This window comes from Homo sapiens, chromosome X, assembly GCF_000001405.40.
Source record: "Homo sapiens chromosome X, GRCh38.p14 Primary Assembly".
NCBI classification, from domain to species: Eukaryota; Metazoa; Chordata; class Mammalia; order Primates; family Hominidae; genus Homo; species Homo sapiens.
In genome coordinates, this window is record NC_000023.11 from 136,661,940 (window position 1) to 136,677,354 (window position 15,415).

The 15,415-nt window shown below is 42.7% G+C and overlaps 1 protein-coding gene across 12 annotated transcripts in view, besides 2 other annotated features; it reads right to left on the reverse strand.

The window, feature by feature from the left end:
* ARHGEF6 (Rac/Cdc42 guanine nucleotide exchange factor 6) overlaps positions 3,611 to 15,415 on the reverse strand; it is a 115,383-nt gene continuing 103,578 nt past the window's right edge. For all 12 annotated transcript variants that reach the window (NM_001440993.1, NM_001440996.1, NM_004840.3 and 9 more), the window contains 5 exons: positions 14,685 to 14,778; positions 13,068 to 13,157; positions 10,081 to 10,180; positions 7,543 to 7,597; positions 3,611 to 6,230 (listed from right to left, as the gene is read on the reverse strand). In NM_001440993.1, coding sequence (NP_001427922.1) covers positions 6,090 to 6,230; positions 7,543 to 7,597; positions 10,081 to 10,180; positions 13,068 to 13,157; positions 14,685 to 14,778 — 480 coding nt within the window. In that variant the 3' untranslated portion in view covers positions 3,611 to 6,089. The remainder of the gene's footprint in view (positions 6,231 to 7,542; positions 7,598 to 10,080; positions 10,181 to 13,067; positions 13,158 to 14,684; positions 14,779 to 15,415) is intronic.
* Positions 4,346 to 4,435: an enhancer, noted in NCBI's record as "active region_29992". NCBI's record gives its function as "activates an Ori minimal core promoter by ATAC-STARR-seq in GM12878 lymphoblastoid cells {active_cell/tissue: GM12878}" and the evidence as "EXISTENCE:reporter gene assay evidence [ECO:0000049][PMID:35858748]".
* Positions 12,208 to 12,267: an enhancer, noted in NCBI's record as "active region_29993". NCBI's record gives its function as "activates an Ori minimal core promoter by ATAC-STARR-seq in GM12878 lymphoblastoid cells {active_cell/tissue: GM12878}" and the evidence as "EXISTENCE:reporter gene assay evidence [ECO:0000049][PMID:35858748]".

The following is a 15,415-nucleotide window of genomic DNA, read 5'->3' on the forward strand; positions in this document are numbered from 1 at the left end:
ATTTGCAAAATAATATATGTTTGTTCCAAACTTCAATTGAACATTTTCAGCATTTTCCTATAAATGAAAAAGACTCGAGTACATTTCTGATGTACCTGTAATAGTCTGATCATAAATTATCTAACTTAGTTCCATTTTTATAATCATGTCACTTCTGCCTTCTATCTAAGGGGGAGGGTGGGAATGTTTGAAATACCAAATAATTATTTCTAGATAAAGAGAAAATAAACAAGGATAAAATATTACTGCCTCTGTTATTTGATGGTTAGCAAATGACCACAAAACGCAAACAGTGTGCTCTAGCAAGCTGTCAGAACAGGGGTGCCCCCACTTAAACGGAAATGACATGTAAACTTTTGGGCTTCAGGAGAGAATACATTCTGTGCTACATTCAACTATTTTCACAGGGCCCAATGCCACTGTGTTGGGAACTGCACTGCTTTAGACTTTTAAAGTAGTCTGAAGTACTTTGAGACACAGAAACATGGAACTAAGTATGATTTTTATGTTATTTTTCTCTGTGAATCACATCCCCACTAAAACAAAACAAAACCAGAAATGCTCATTGTAGTGTAGTAGTTAAATCTCGAGTCAGACAGATACAGTCTTAATCTAGGCTCCACTATTAACCAGCTTTATAAGTACAGGCAAGTCATTTCACCTCCTCTAGTCCTCTGTGTCTTCATCTGTAAAGTGGGAATAAAAAGAAGACATGCTGGGCCAGGCATGGTGGCTCACGCCTGTAATCCCAGCAGTTTGGGAGGCTGAGGCAGGTGGATCACTTGAGGTCAGGAGTTCGAGACTAGCCTGGCCAACACAGCAAAACGCTGTCTCTACTAAAAACACAAAAATTAGCCCAGCATGGTGGTGTGTGCCTGTAATCTCAGCTACGTGGGAGGCTAAGGCAGCAGAATCACTTGTACCCAGGAGGGGGAGGTTGCAGTAAGCCAAGATGGTGCCTGTGCACTCCAGCCTGGGCGACAGAAGCAAGACTGCATCTCAAAAAAAAAAAAAAAAAGTTTATAAAGATTCAGTGAGATTGTCCACAGAAAGTCCCCAGCAGAATCTGCTCTCTGGAGAAGATCATCATGTAAGAAGCACTAAGGTGGGTCTCTACATGGTCCCCAGCACACCTGTCTGCATTCAGTGGTGCAAGTGGACAGGGTGCCATCTTAAATGGTTGAAACTTCTGAGACCAAGGAGAATGCCTGGCAACCCAGGTACACATGAGAGCCTATGCTCATGTACTAGACCAAAGACCACACCCAATGTGAAGCAAAGTGAAACCAAAAAAAAGAAAGAAAGAAAAAGCAAACATTACAGTAGACCTGTGGATAGCAAAGACCCTTTTTTTATGGTATAGTTTTATTGTCAAAAACTGCTAAGCGCTGGGGGCTTGGAGTTGCCAAATTTTTCAGTAGGTTTGAGAAGATTACATATATATATATTATATATATATATTATATATATTATATATATATTATATATATTATATATATATATTATATATATTATATATTATATATATATATTATATATGTTATATATATATATATATATATTTAGATGGAGTCTTACTCTGTTGCCAGGCTGGACTGGAGTGCAATGGCATGATCTCGGCTCACTGCAACCTCTGCCTCCCAGGTTCAAGCGATTCCCCTGCCTCAGCCTCCCGAGTAGCTGGGGCTGCAGGTGCATGCCACCACGCCCAGTTAATTTTTTTTTTTTTTTGTATTTTAGGAGAGATGGGGTTTCACCATGTTGGCCAGAATGGCCTCGATCTCCTGACCTTGTAATCCGCCCGCCTCAGCCTCCCAAAGTGCTGGGATTACAGGCATGAGCCACCGAGCCCAGCCGAAGTTCTATATTTAGGAATGTTTCTTTAAAAGACGATGACCATTGATTCCCAGTCTAAGGGGCATCAGCACACAAACCTCCCCCTTCCATACCACACTTTCACACTCCTCTGAGTCATTCTTCAAGCAATTCAGTAACTTTCAGGAAACTGCCCCACTCCTGCAGTTCCACTGAGTTATCTATAAGGTAGCTGCATCCATGGGTCTGGAGATCAGGAGAAAAGTCAGAATGGAAAACTGTGGACATGGGAGTCATCTGCATTTTGATAAATGAAGTTATGGGGGTAGTCAAGGTTGTCTAGGAATAGGCTATAGATTGGAAGAGACGAGGAAAAGAGGATCAGCAATGTTCAGGGGACAGCCTAAGGAGGCAGGTCCAGCAAAGGAGACTGAGGGGTGACTGAATGAATGCCAAGAAAGTGTGGGCTCATGAAAACCAAGGAAGGAGAGATTCATCAAGAAGGCAAGGGTCAAATACTGCAGAGACGTCAAGGTGAGGATCGAAAAGCCAATGGATTTGTCAATTATAAGCTTAATAGTGACTTCACAAAGGTGGATGGCTAAGGTAGGAACCTTAGCATGTACCAAGTGTGCAGGAGGATACGTGATAGAGAGAGCATGGGTCCAAGAGTCAGACAGACTAAGGTTTCAAATTCCAGCTCCACCATGTACTAGCAAGTTACTCAACATCTCTGTGCCTCTGTTCATTTGTAAGTGGAGATAACAATAGTAAATACTTAATAAGGTTGTTGTGAGGCTTACATGAGCTTAATCGTGTAAACCACTTAGTACAGTGCCTAGCACACATGAGATGCCATGTTCTATCTATTGGCTCAGAGCAGGAATCATAAACCACTGAAGGTATCTCAGGCAGAAAGATAATCAGTTGTCTACAAAACCATTGGGCTACATAAGTGGAAGTCAGGGGAAGTCAGGAGGCTGCCACTGGACTAATGGCTTCAAGGTCATATCATTGCAGTTGTGATCCACATGTTAGGAGGCTGCTGCCACCACTACAGTCTCTCACTCACAAAGCTGTGAATAGACACACTGGAATGTGGAGTACAGAAGCCACAAACACATCTTTGGAATCACCTGCTGGCCACCAAACCCCAAGAAGATAGCCTCTGCCCAACTTAAGCCTTCCAAATTTTGTTGGCAGAAGTGAACATGTATCTGAACCCACATTTTATCCAGAACCCTAGCTGCAAGGGAGTCTGGGAAATTGATTTTTCAGCCTTTATGTTTTTGGAAAGAAACAGAAAAGGGGTAGGAATGCATGTGGAGCAGCAGATAATTTCCACCTCATCAATCTTTAAGTGGAACGAATATTTCCATCCTGAGTGCTGACACCAGCATTCCAACTGTGGTCAAAATATAGGATTATCACTGATTGACAAAATCCTGCCAAATTCAAAGAGGAATCAGGACAGGAATAAATATCAAGGGATAAGCTTGAGCAGGAAAATACATTTTTCTCTAATATCAAAAAGCAGATGGTGAGCAGGGATATAATTTATAGGTTTGGGCCAGAAGAAGAGAGGTAGAGAAGTTAAGGAAGGTTCTGTCTCAGGGCATGTATTATCTCTGTAAAGTTGGGAGCAAATGTCATCTGCCCTGAGTGAAAAAGGTTGAGACTGGCTAGAGGGCTTGGTGAGAGCAGACTAGCTAATGAGGGAAATGGGAGAGGAAGCTGACACAGCACAAGAAATCTTTCTGCACACCGGCTAGCAAAAAAAGAAGCAAAAGACTTATTTTTATAAAGCACTGTTTATTTTTATGTATTGAAAATGTCCATTTTAAAAGTCTTCAAAATAAAAACAAGTTAGAAAATTTGAGCTTGTGTTAAGAAGGGGAAGGACAGAAAAGGAACTGAAAGGCCTCTACGGGCAGCAGTTTAATTACAGGGCAACAGGAACCCATTTATAGAGTATTGTAAACAACACAACTATGGCGACACTGCTCTCAGATTAACATGGCTTCATTTCCTTTATATTATAGTTTAGTGTGTAAGCATGGTTACCACTCTGCACAAGCTTCGTTATCCAGAGTACCGAGGGCCCCTCATCAGAAGGGCCAAGTCCCCGAAACATGCATATGTACTCATCACTGTAAAATGAAGACCTTTCAATATTTTCAGCAATCAACTAAAGTATTCCGTAATCACAAAAATGTTTCCTATAGATGCAGTTTGCACATTTATTGCAAGCCATTGACTAACCACAGAATGGGCAGATGTGAAGATCTGTGTTGATGTTGTTGGTGGTGGTGGTAGTACTGATGTTTTTAATTTTTAAGTGAAGGATGTTATATCTAAATGGCTGTGCTAAAAAACAGAACAACAGCCATTCCTAGAAATTTCTTTACTCTTCAGCTTCCAAACACGGCTGTGTGTGGTTGGCTGATGTTGGACTGCAAAAATAGTCCATTTCCTGTGGATGGTGTAATTTCTGCTGTGCAGCAAGCAGACAACAGCCCTGTACCATGTAGCTATGGGACCTTGAGACTCTCAGTACCAAAAATAAAAAGGGCTCCTCAGCAAGCTGGGGGTTTCAAACTTCAAGTTTTGTTTTTTCAGAGACAGAGGTGTCTCTCTGTTACCTAGGTTGGAGTGCAGTGGTGTCATCACAGCTCACTGCAGCCTTGACCTCCTGGGCTCAAATGATCCTCCCACCTCAGCCTCCTGAGTAGCTGGGACCACAGGTGTGGGCCACCATGCCTGGCTTCAAGTTTGGTTTTTAAACAATATTTGCAAAACCCACATTTATAGGCATCCATCAAATATATTATAAAGGCAATTCTGATCAGCCCTTTGGCCTCAATTTCCAGTGACCTTCCCCATCTGGCCAAATTTCTCTTGTCTTTTGGGGAGGGAGGGGTGAGTGGCACTGAGCCTTAGGCCAACTTTCAATGGCGCTGAATTTGGATGTGTGCTGTTCTGTGACTGTCTTCTAAACCTGGTTTCTCACAGTTCTAGTTTCTGGGATAAAGTGGATGATGTGATTCAATGAGCAACTTGAGTTAATCAGTCCTGAATAATCCAGCACACAGCTACTAGAGGGGCCCTTTTGTTCTGGATGTACAAGTTGGACCAGAAGCATATTTCTGCAAATACTGCTTAGAGTCCCACCCAAAGAGGCCAATTAATATTACAACTTCTCACAGCATATATGAGAGAGTAATAAAGTGAATGAAAGCTGTCTAGTAGGGCACAATATCTTCTTAATGCAGATTGTTTTGAAGGATAAAACATCACAGTTTGAATATGCAACGTACATAAAGTAACTCCTCACAGTCTAACTACATTTTTTTAAAAAGTAAGCAAAGCACATACATACTAGTTTACACACCACTTGGTAAGGTTGGCTAAAAGTACTGGGGAAATAGAAAACTTACACACTAGGCAGAATGAGGGAAAGAAACCTATCATGCAATGGGAAAAGGCGGTCAACTCTGCTACTAAAAGGGAGGATTGTCCAGTAGAATTTGCTGATGGATTTGGTGTTGGTGTGGGTGACCAGAGCTTCTGCCCCCCTGAGTTACAATTTACATGACACAAAAGGAATAAGGGTACTACAGTTTTCTTGGTCTTATAGACAACATAGGGCAGTAATTTTAAAACCTGTGATTGAGGGGAGGCATGTGATGGTCTAAGGAAGGGCAGCTGGATCATTGGGCAGATGTGTTTGTCTTTCATCCTACTCAAGCCATAGTCTGGAAGATTTGCCTTCGGTAAATTAAGTACTAAGAGGCTTGCAGGTACAGGAAAGCCCTGGGGAAAAGTTGGGTTCACATTTAATAAGCCTTGGCCAGCTGCTTTGCAAGGGCAGCCAGCCCAAAGAATGTGACCTGAGGGCAATGGCTGTTGCAGAGGCACTGTGAACTGAAGGCAATCTGAAGACCTTTTAAGTAACTGGCCTGCATTCCCTTTCTCTTTCTTACTGAATGGAAAAGACTCTGAGGCCATCTCTACCACCACTTCCTGCTTTTTCACCTGTTGAAAAAAAAAATGAACAACCAACCAATAACCAAACAACAGCAAATGCCCAAGCGCGCACGTGCACGCACACACATATGCACACAGCGGGGAGAGAAAGAGAAGAGAGAGGGAGAGAGAGAGAGAGACTCAAACACAAAACAAAAGCCAAAGAAGTGAGCAAACTGAGTCAAATCATTCAGCGGGACATTTCAAGATGCCCTGAAGGCACACTCCACCCAGTGGCACAGTGATGGTTATGGAAGAATTGAGGTCTTGCTACTGGACTCGCCTCGAATACACTCATCTGTTTGCTTCAAAAGCCTCCGCACCAGCTTTTCTAGGTCCCTTCTTGATTTCAGTTCTTCTTCCAGGCATTGCTTCATTCTTTTATTTTCCTATGATGGGGAAAGATTTGTTGATTATCAAACAGAGGGGGGCCCTTCCAAGGGCTCCTCCTGCTCATCCTCGGGGCAGCTTTCATCACTGACTCTCTTTCTTTCCTCGACCTTCCCTCCCTCAGCATCTATGACAAAGCAGCCTGTCGATTCTCCTGCCTGTCTCTGGGAAACCTTTTGGATTCTTCTTCCCTGCCCTGATCCTCTTCTAATTTAACTTGCTTTTCACTTAGTGTCACTTCTGTTTCAACCCAAGTGTCTATTAAGGGGACTCCCAAATATCTCTGGTACTGACCTTGTCTCCTGAGAATCGGGTCCACAATCTCAACTGTCAGCCTGGTATTTCTTCTTCTTCTTCTTCTTCTTATTATTATTATTATTATTATTATTTTATTTAAGAGATGGGGTCTCACTCTATTGCCAGGCTGGAGTGCAGTGTAATCATGGCTCACTGCAGCCTCAAACTCCCGGGCTTAAGTGATCCTCTCACTTACCTGAGATTACCTGGCAGCAGCTTGGTATTTCCACCTAGATATGTCACAAGCACCTTAAACTCATCAGGTCCTAAAGTGAACTCAGTATCTCTCTCAACACCCCAAACTTCTCCTCCTCCTGTGATTACTGATCTCCATGAAGGGGCACCACCATATGCAACCAGACACCCTGGGAAGAAGCTTCATCTTTAATCCCTGGCTCTTTCTTAATCTCAAAATCATATTATCCTCGTCCATAGGTTCAAACTCTGCAGTATGCCATCCTTTACATTCGTTTCCTCCTCCCCAGCCTCATTACCCTGCCTCAGTTCAGGACTCTGACAGGTTTCACCCTGAGTTTTGTAAGAACCTCCTAAGTGGTCTTCTAGTCCCTGGTCTCTCTCCCCTCGCATCCATCCTTCACTCTGTCACCAGATACAGTCAGTCCTCACACACAAGGCACAGTGTGCATCACGGAGCACTAGGCCACATCGGCAGAAAAGCCCACAAACCATGATGAATGGTTCTCTTTACACTTACACACTCATGAATGACTAGTCTTTTCTTAAAGTCTGTTTATGGATGTCAGAGAACAGGAAAGTTGTAACTAACTTTGGGACTCTATTGTGAACTACTACATAGAAATACAAGCAAGCCTCGGAAATTTAAATTCAAGGCTTACATGATAAAATCAACAAAACCTACCTTGATGACACAAGGAAAACAAAAATCCCCCCTCGCTACCTTGCTCCTAGGCCTTCCCTGAAAGCATGAGCAGCGTGAGGCAAGAAAAAGAGAATGGTTCTATTACCCGAGAAAATGATTTTATATTTTATTACCTGCTTCAGTTCTCTGACCTCGTCCTTCAAGGCGTAAACAGTATCAACAAGGCTCCTAGAAAATAAAGATAAAATTCAGAGACAAATGGCTTGCACTGAGGTACTGTTAAAATACTTAACAATAAAAGCCACTTTATAAAAATACAGATCCTGAAAAACAGTGGACTTTCTAGCTGATTGGGAATGGTACTGCTCTAAATGGTTTCCATCTTCTTGACTTTGATGGAAGAACAACCACCACCACACATGCTTAGCTAAATGCAATGTCATTACACCTTTTCTATACTTCCCTCCTCCTTTTCTACTCACTTCCCAGCTTGGGTGAACAAAACACAAGAGACTAGGGCCCGTCACTAAGTTTTTCTTTTTCTAGCTTTGTTGAGGGATAATTGACAAAGCTGTACAATGTGATGTCTTGATATATGTATACATTGTGAAGTGGTTACCATAATCAAGCTAATTAACATATCCATCTCCTCACATAGTTACCTTTTGTATGTGTGTGGTGGAAATCTACACTCTTAGCAAACTTCAAGTATACTCCATTGTAAACTATGCAGTCTTCCCTCCCTCGGTATCCATGGGGTATTGGTTCAAGGACCCCCATGGATACCAAAATCCACAGATGCTCAAGTCCTTAACATAAAATGGCATAGTATTTGCATATAACCAATGCACATCTTCCCATACACTTTAAATCATATCTAGATTACTTATCATACCTAATACAATGTAAATGCTATGCAAATATTTGTTATACCATATTTCTTAGGAAAAAACAATATGGTATAACAGTGCATACATATATCAAGACATCACATTGTACACCTTTGTCAATTATCCCTCAACAAAGGCGGAAAAAGAAAAACTTTACTAGGTATGAAAAAAATCTGTACATGTTCAATACAGATGCAACCATCCATTTTTTTCTGAATATCTTTTTGATCTGGGGTTGGTTGAATCCACAGATGCAGAGCCCACGCATGCAGAGGGCCAACTGTAGTCAACATGCTGTACATTAGTTCTCCAGAACTTATTCATCCTGCATACCTGAGATTTGGTACCCTTTGACCAACATCTCCCCATTTCCCCTTTCCCCTCAGTCCCTAGAAACTACCATTCTGCTCTCTGTTTTTAGGAGTTCGACGTTTTCAATTCCCGTCATAAGGTTTTGATTTCTCTAGCTTTGGGGCAGGAATGAACATCACCTATCATATAATGAGAGGTATCACAAGATTGCCTAGTCTACAGTATCTGTGCTATGACATTGCCCTTCCCAGTTCTCTGACTGCACATGACACAAAGTCAGAGGCATTCTTTCTGGAATATCTCAACCATACAGTACCCAAAAAAGTAATTTTTTGGTAATTACTGGGTTGCAGAACAGCCTTTTCCTCTCTGGGTCTCTCCCTGGACAAAGATTTTGGAGATCTAAGTTTTGGTTCTGATCCTGCCACTTACTAGTCCTCTGTTCTCTGGGAACCAGTTTCCTTCTCATCCTCTCTTGGTCTTAGTTTCTTTACATGTAAAATGGGGATAATAGCACATTTTCTGAAAACCTCACAAAGTTGTAAAAATGAATATCGTTATAATAAGAATTAACTAACATTATTTATTGAGCTAGCCTTTATACTTATTTCACTTAACCTCACAACAACTCTGAAAGCATTACCGTCATCCTTATTTTACAGATGAGGAAACTGAGGCACAGAGAGGTGAAGCAACTTGCCCCAGGTCACACAGCTAATGAGTAGCAGAAGTGGGAGTTGAACCACACTGTTTTTTGCTTGAGCCCAAGTACTTAACCATTTTGCTGTATCACTTCACACATCAGATGTAAAATGCATTGACAATGCCAAGCACCTTGAAATATGCTGTCCTATGCAAATTTAGGCCTGACTTCAGAAATGACTCAAGTTTAGACAAATGAATTATTTGGCTACTTTGTGTTAATTTTATGAGCCAGAAGGTACTTAACCTGATTTTCCCCCATTAGGTCACCCACACTACTGTGTAAAGGTAAGTCAGAGACATAATTTCCCTGAACTTCCTGTACCTCAGTTTCTTTATCTGTGAAAGTGGTGAGAGTAATGTTTATCTAACCGGATTGCTGTAGGATTTTAAATGATGTCAAAAATGTGAAAGCACAGCTTCTGACTCAAAACATGTGAGTGGCATCTCTCCGGGCAAGGAAATTGGTTCTGTGGCTGGAATTCCCAGCCACTTCCTAAACCCATCCAGGGCATTGATATTCCCATGTGCTCAGAAGCAGCTTACTGGATGGGGAGCTGGCTGCAGGGGCAGCTGCCAGCTGGAGCTGCCTTGGAGGGCTCTGTCACCGCTGCTTTTCCTTCCTCTTTCCATTTGTTAGTGGGCAGCCCTCTAAAGTCTCCCAAATGCATGCACAGCAAAGCAGGCCGCATTCCCAGGTAAGGAGGAGTTGTCCCTCATCATAGACTCTCCAGGAGCTCCCCGTCCTACCAGACCTTCTTGCCAGCCCCAAGAGAAACTAGGCAAGGTTTTGCCTGCTCTACTCACTTTTCTTCCATGATGGTCTGGCCGTTGCTTCTGGTTTCTTCAATGATGAGTTTCTCTTCCTCAGGGAGTAGGACTTGTGGAATGGAATCTTTTCGAGTACCTACAAACAAGGGTTGCAAGATGGGGGAGGAGGGAGAGTTACTAGTGAAGAGTAGAAATAGTGGGTGTTAGTTCTTTTCCACTATTGTTACAGAAGGGTCTTTGTTCATAGCATGTTGCTACATTACACCCAGAGGACAGTCACCCATCATTTGCTGACTAAATTTTCCTGACATGAGAAATTCTAAATGGCCAAATACACTGATTCAATCTTCCCGAGGTGGGAAGCATTTTGTATTCAGAAAAATAATGCAAAAGAGCCCCTGTAATACCTGTCCACAACCAAGACCTCCATTCTTTCCTGTTTTGCCTCCTCCAGAGCAAAGAGCTGACCAGTGATCACTCTTCCCTGCAAATCTCCAAGGAAGGACACACTACATCCTATGCTACAGTGTTTTGTCATTGTAGTAAAAGGTTGACAGTAGCACTGCACTGAAACACAATGTGCTTAAAGGGCCTCAGAAGCATCATCACCCCCATTTGTTCTCTTTACAGTCTTATAGGGTAAGGTAGGTATGTCTCCTAAGACCATTTTCATCAAGGGTGGAGTGAGGTTTGGAGATTATCACATCATCAGCAAAGATGTAGGTGTCCTCTGCCCAGAATGTCTCCAGGCTCTGGGACAGAAGAGGTGACAGAACAGGCATGGGGGCCCAACCAAACAGCTCTCCTGCACCTCCCTCACTCTGGATCCTCCCTCTCAGAGCTCAAGTGCTTAATCTTGGGTCTCCCTGAGCCACTGGCTTCCTCTCTTCTAGGCCAAGTTCCTTCAGAGGTGTGCACACTCACTGCCTTCACTTGACCACCTCCCCTTTCTTGAGGTAAGATGTGTCTCTGCCTTCTCCAGGGCCTAGCACTTTGTAGGTGCTTAATACAGGTGGCCCCCCATATCCACATGTTTCACATCTGTGGATTCAACCAACCGTGCATTGAAAATGTTCAGAAAAAACAAAAAACAATACAAATTTAAAACCCAATGCAGTATAACAACTATTTACACAGCATTTACATTTATGAGGTATGATAAGCAATCTAGAGATGATTTAAAGTATATGGGAAGATATATGGAGGTGATAAGCAAATGCTCCACCATTTTACATCAGGGACTTGAGCATCGTCAGATTTTGTTATCTCTGGGGGTCCTGGAGCCAATCCCCTGCAGATACCAAGGGACGAATATAAGTGGAAAGCAAACTGACTGAATGACTGGCTGAATGCAGTAAGAGCCGAGGGCAGTCAGTTCTAGAGAAACAGGGCTTCTGGTTAGAGAGGGATAGAGGATAGAAGGTCACCACGATGCTAAATGATCTGCTGTGTGACAAGCACAGTGCCAGACATCTTCCACATGTAAAAGGTTGGGTAGGGAGCAAGGGTGAAGACGTGTCTTTTTAAGCCAGAATATCTGGCTGCACTTCCCAGCTGCAGACCCATCCACTCTGTCAAATATAAAAATAGGTGGTGCGGGAGGAGATGAGGTCAGATTTTGTAGAAGGGATGCTTCTGGTATCTCTTTGTCCCCCTCTCTTCTCTAGTTCTCAAAACTAAAGCTGCCCTCACTTTCCTCTCCTGGCTCCTTGAAACATGTTATCAGAGCTATGCATGCCCAAAGCCACAGCCAGGTTTTCTCTGTGAAGCAGAGTGCGACAGTCCTCTCTTCATGGCCAAATGCGTCAACTTTCACATTGAATCATTGAATGCTTTCTTTCTCTCTCTCTTTCTCTCTCTCTCTCTCCCCCCACCTCTCGTTCTCTTGTATTTATTTATTTTTGATGGTGTCTCACTCTGTCACCCAGGCTGGAGTGCAGTGGTGCAATCTTGGCTCACTGCAACCTCCACCTCCCGGGTTCAAGAGATTCTCCTGCCTCAGCCTCCCAAGTAGCTGGGACTACAGGTGTGCGCCATCACACCCGGCTAACTTTTGTGTTTTTAGTAGAGACAGGGTTTTCCCATATTGCCCAGGCTGGTCTTGAACTCCTGGCCTCAAGGGATCTGCCTGCTTTGGCCTCCCAAAGTGCTGGATTACAGGCGTGAGCCATCATGCCCAGTAGAATGCTTCTTTTATGTCAGCCTTAGAGATGCATTACTTTGAAAGAATATGTCAAGGCACCTAAGAAATCCCCTCCCACATTCAAATGATTGGTCACTGGATGTCCAAAATGGAGTACTATGGAGTATTCATTTCTTATGCAGGTGCAAAAACTTCACAAAAGGTATTCTGAATGTCTATAATAATGGGAGACAAAAGACATAATCGAAGTGACCTGTCTTTTTAAAAGCATAAAGATGAATCAGAAAATATTATCTTGCTTTCAGTTTGTAACCTGAAAGTTGTTTGGGGAAATACCCTAACCTAATAACTCCCTGATCAACTTTATACATTTTGGACAACCTCTGCTAAGCAGCTACCTTTCCAGATTTTCAGAGCAACTTTGAAACTTGAGTTTGGTGAAGCATTGTTCGTTTAAATATGCAGCTGATCAAAGATAGTATTTTGACTTCCTTTCCAAATCTGCCTATAAGAAGAGATTAGCATCAGTTCACAGACACAGGAACTCTCTAGGCCCTTTAATTCCTAACTAGTGTTGGTGAAGGTATCTGTGTACTTCAAAGGAGAACAACTTTAAAAAAAAATTTTCACTTCTATCACCTCCAACTCTTTTACTCTTGCATCTCTCTTTCTGGGTGAAAAACAACAGTGGGTAAACAAACCGCTTGGTAGCTAAAACCACCTTATCTGAAAGATGCAGTCCTGCACCACTCCTCTGCACCAAGTCACCTGCTTTCCACACCCTGCAACCCATCCGGGTTGCTTTTCTCTTTTTCTAAAAGACACTAAACAGTAAGGAAGAAACGTCACTCACTAGAGAAAGTAGTTTGGGGGAACCTACTTGAGCCATGGCCTTGTTGAAAATTTGCGCTGGTGCAGTAGGCTTCGATCACTTTAAGGATTTGAGCATCCTCTTCCAGAGCAGCTGTACCTGTGAAATTTAATTCATCATGACTTTTCATAGATATATGCTTTTGGACCCTCAAAATGATGCAGCACACTCCACTGCCTGGGACTGGCTTCTCTGACCAGTAGAGTTTGTGAAAGGCAGGAGAAAGAGCTGTCCAACGCTGGTGATGGAGAAGAGTGACAGCATCCTCATGGAGCTTTGGAGTCAGCCTCAGTGAGCTCAGCTTAGTGGAGGGCCTACTCCTGAAGCCCAGAGCTCTACACTGGGACCGGGGTGGGGGGGGCGGTGTTTTGTCAGTGGTCTCAGTGAGGCCAAAATCACAGCACTGAGCTTGTTGCTAGCTTAGCTCCCATCAATATACCCCAGCCTTCCTCTCCTTTAAATTTCAAGGCTCACCTTTAGGAAGCTTTCCCTCATTAACCCCACTCAATTTTCTTTTCTTTTCTTTTCTTTTTTTTGAGACGGAGTCTTACACTCTTGCCCAGGCTGGAGTGCAGTGGCGCGATCTCGGCTCACTGCAAGCTCCGCCTCCCGGGTTCACGCCATTCTCCTGCCTCAGCCTCCCGAGTTGTTGGGACTACAGGCACCCGCCACCACACCCGGCTAATTTTTTTTGTATTTTTTTTAGTAGAGACGAGGTTTCACCATGTTAGCCAGGATGGTCTCGATCTCCTGACCTTGTGATCTGCCCGCCTCAGCCTCCCAAAGTGCTGGGATTACAGGCATGAGCCACCGTGCCCGGCCAACCCCACCCAATTTTCTAACCAGTCAGCATAGTCACTCATTTTCCCTTCTCCCTTCTCCTCTACTCCAAACTCATTCTTGCAATGGCTGGATGGCAGCACCCTGTGAACACGCCAGTGTGCATAACCAGGTGTGGGGTGGGGGGTGGGGCATGCCAAAGCTGAAGTGGAGCAAATATTTATCCAAACTATATTCCCAGCTGATACACACAATTCTGTCACCTCTTTGTGAGACATCACTTACTCCTTCACATGTGTCCCAAAGTACCTTGTGTCCCAAAGTACCTTGTTCACAGCCTTATAGCCAAATATGTCCATATCGACTGGCTGACTGACTTTGCAGTCTGTCTCCAAATGAAACTATGTTTCTAGATGTGGGCAGGCTGATTCCCTGAGTAACTGAGAGCATCACTGAGCATGGGACTTCTGGAAGGACTTCAGCCTTCGGGTCTATTTAGTCTATCTCCCTGCAGAAAAATATCTCAAGTATCAGAAACTAAGAGGGAAAAAATGTATCCATAGGAAATGGGTCCCTTTAGAGGTTCTAAACCAGGTGAGGCAAAATACTCAACACAAAAATGATACAGATGACATCTGCCTAAGATGACATGAAGTGCAGCCGTAAGAAGCTTATTCAAATGTTTAAGAAGTGACCAAAGCTTTCCATGCATTCTTCTTTATATGTAAAAGACGATGTCAAGAAAAAATTGCTCCAATCATCTGCTTTCAAATAAATCCTCACATAAAAGAAGATTCTCATGTTAATTTATCCATAAACAACTTTCAGAAAGTACAAAACACATACTTTTCCTAATCACATATTCCTCCTCCGATGGTTTTCTCTCAGTCTTCCTTTTATGAAGAAATTTCTTCATCGTTTTAGGGCTTTTACTAGACTCCTGTGAGGACAGAGGTTTCTTAATGAATTAAAATTCTCCCTCAAAAACAAAAGTAAAAGCATGAATGAAACTAAGTAGAATTCCTCTCTCTTATTTTGACAGTCTCAGTTAGGAGTACATCAATGTTTAATTCTATGCACAATTAAAATGGTTCCAATAAACTCTAAAAGGTTAAATAAAACAGAGGCAATGACATTATCCTCTCAACTTGCACAGAGGTGGGACTAAGAGTGGAGTGTGCCTACTGAAGATGTGGCAGATTCTCCAGGAGGCCAAATGGCTTTAGGGAACCATCTGCAGAGAAAGTAAGGGATGTCAACCCTAAAAACGTAACAGTATTCCTAATTTGGTTTACGTTCCCCACTGATACAGTTTTAGGGGAACTAAATAACCACTGTAACCACTAATGTAGTAATGATCACTTTTCAAAGAGCTTCAAAGCTATTTAAATAATTCTGCCTTAGAAACAGTCCCACAAATAAGAATATAATTTCCATTTGTGAGACAGAAAAATTAAGGCAGAGAGACTAAGCCATTTTTCCGCAGTCAAAGAGAAGAACCAAATGAAGGATTTCCTAAAAAATAATTTTGGGTTAGAAGTAACACACCCACAGCCAAACTTAACTATCCATATATA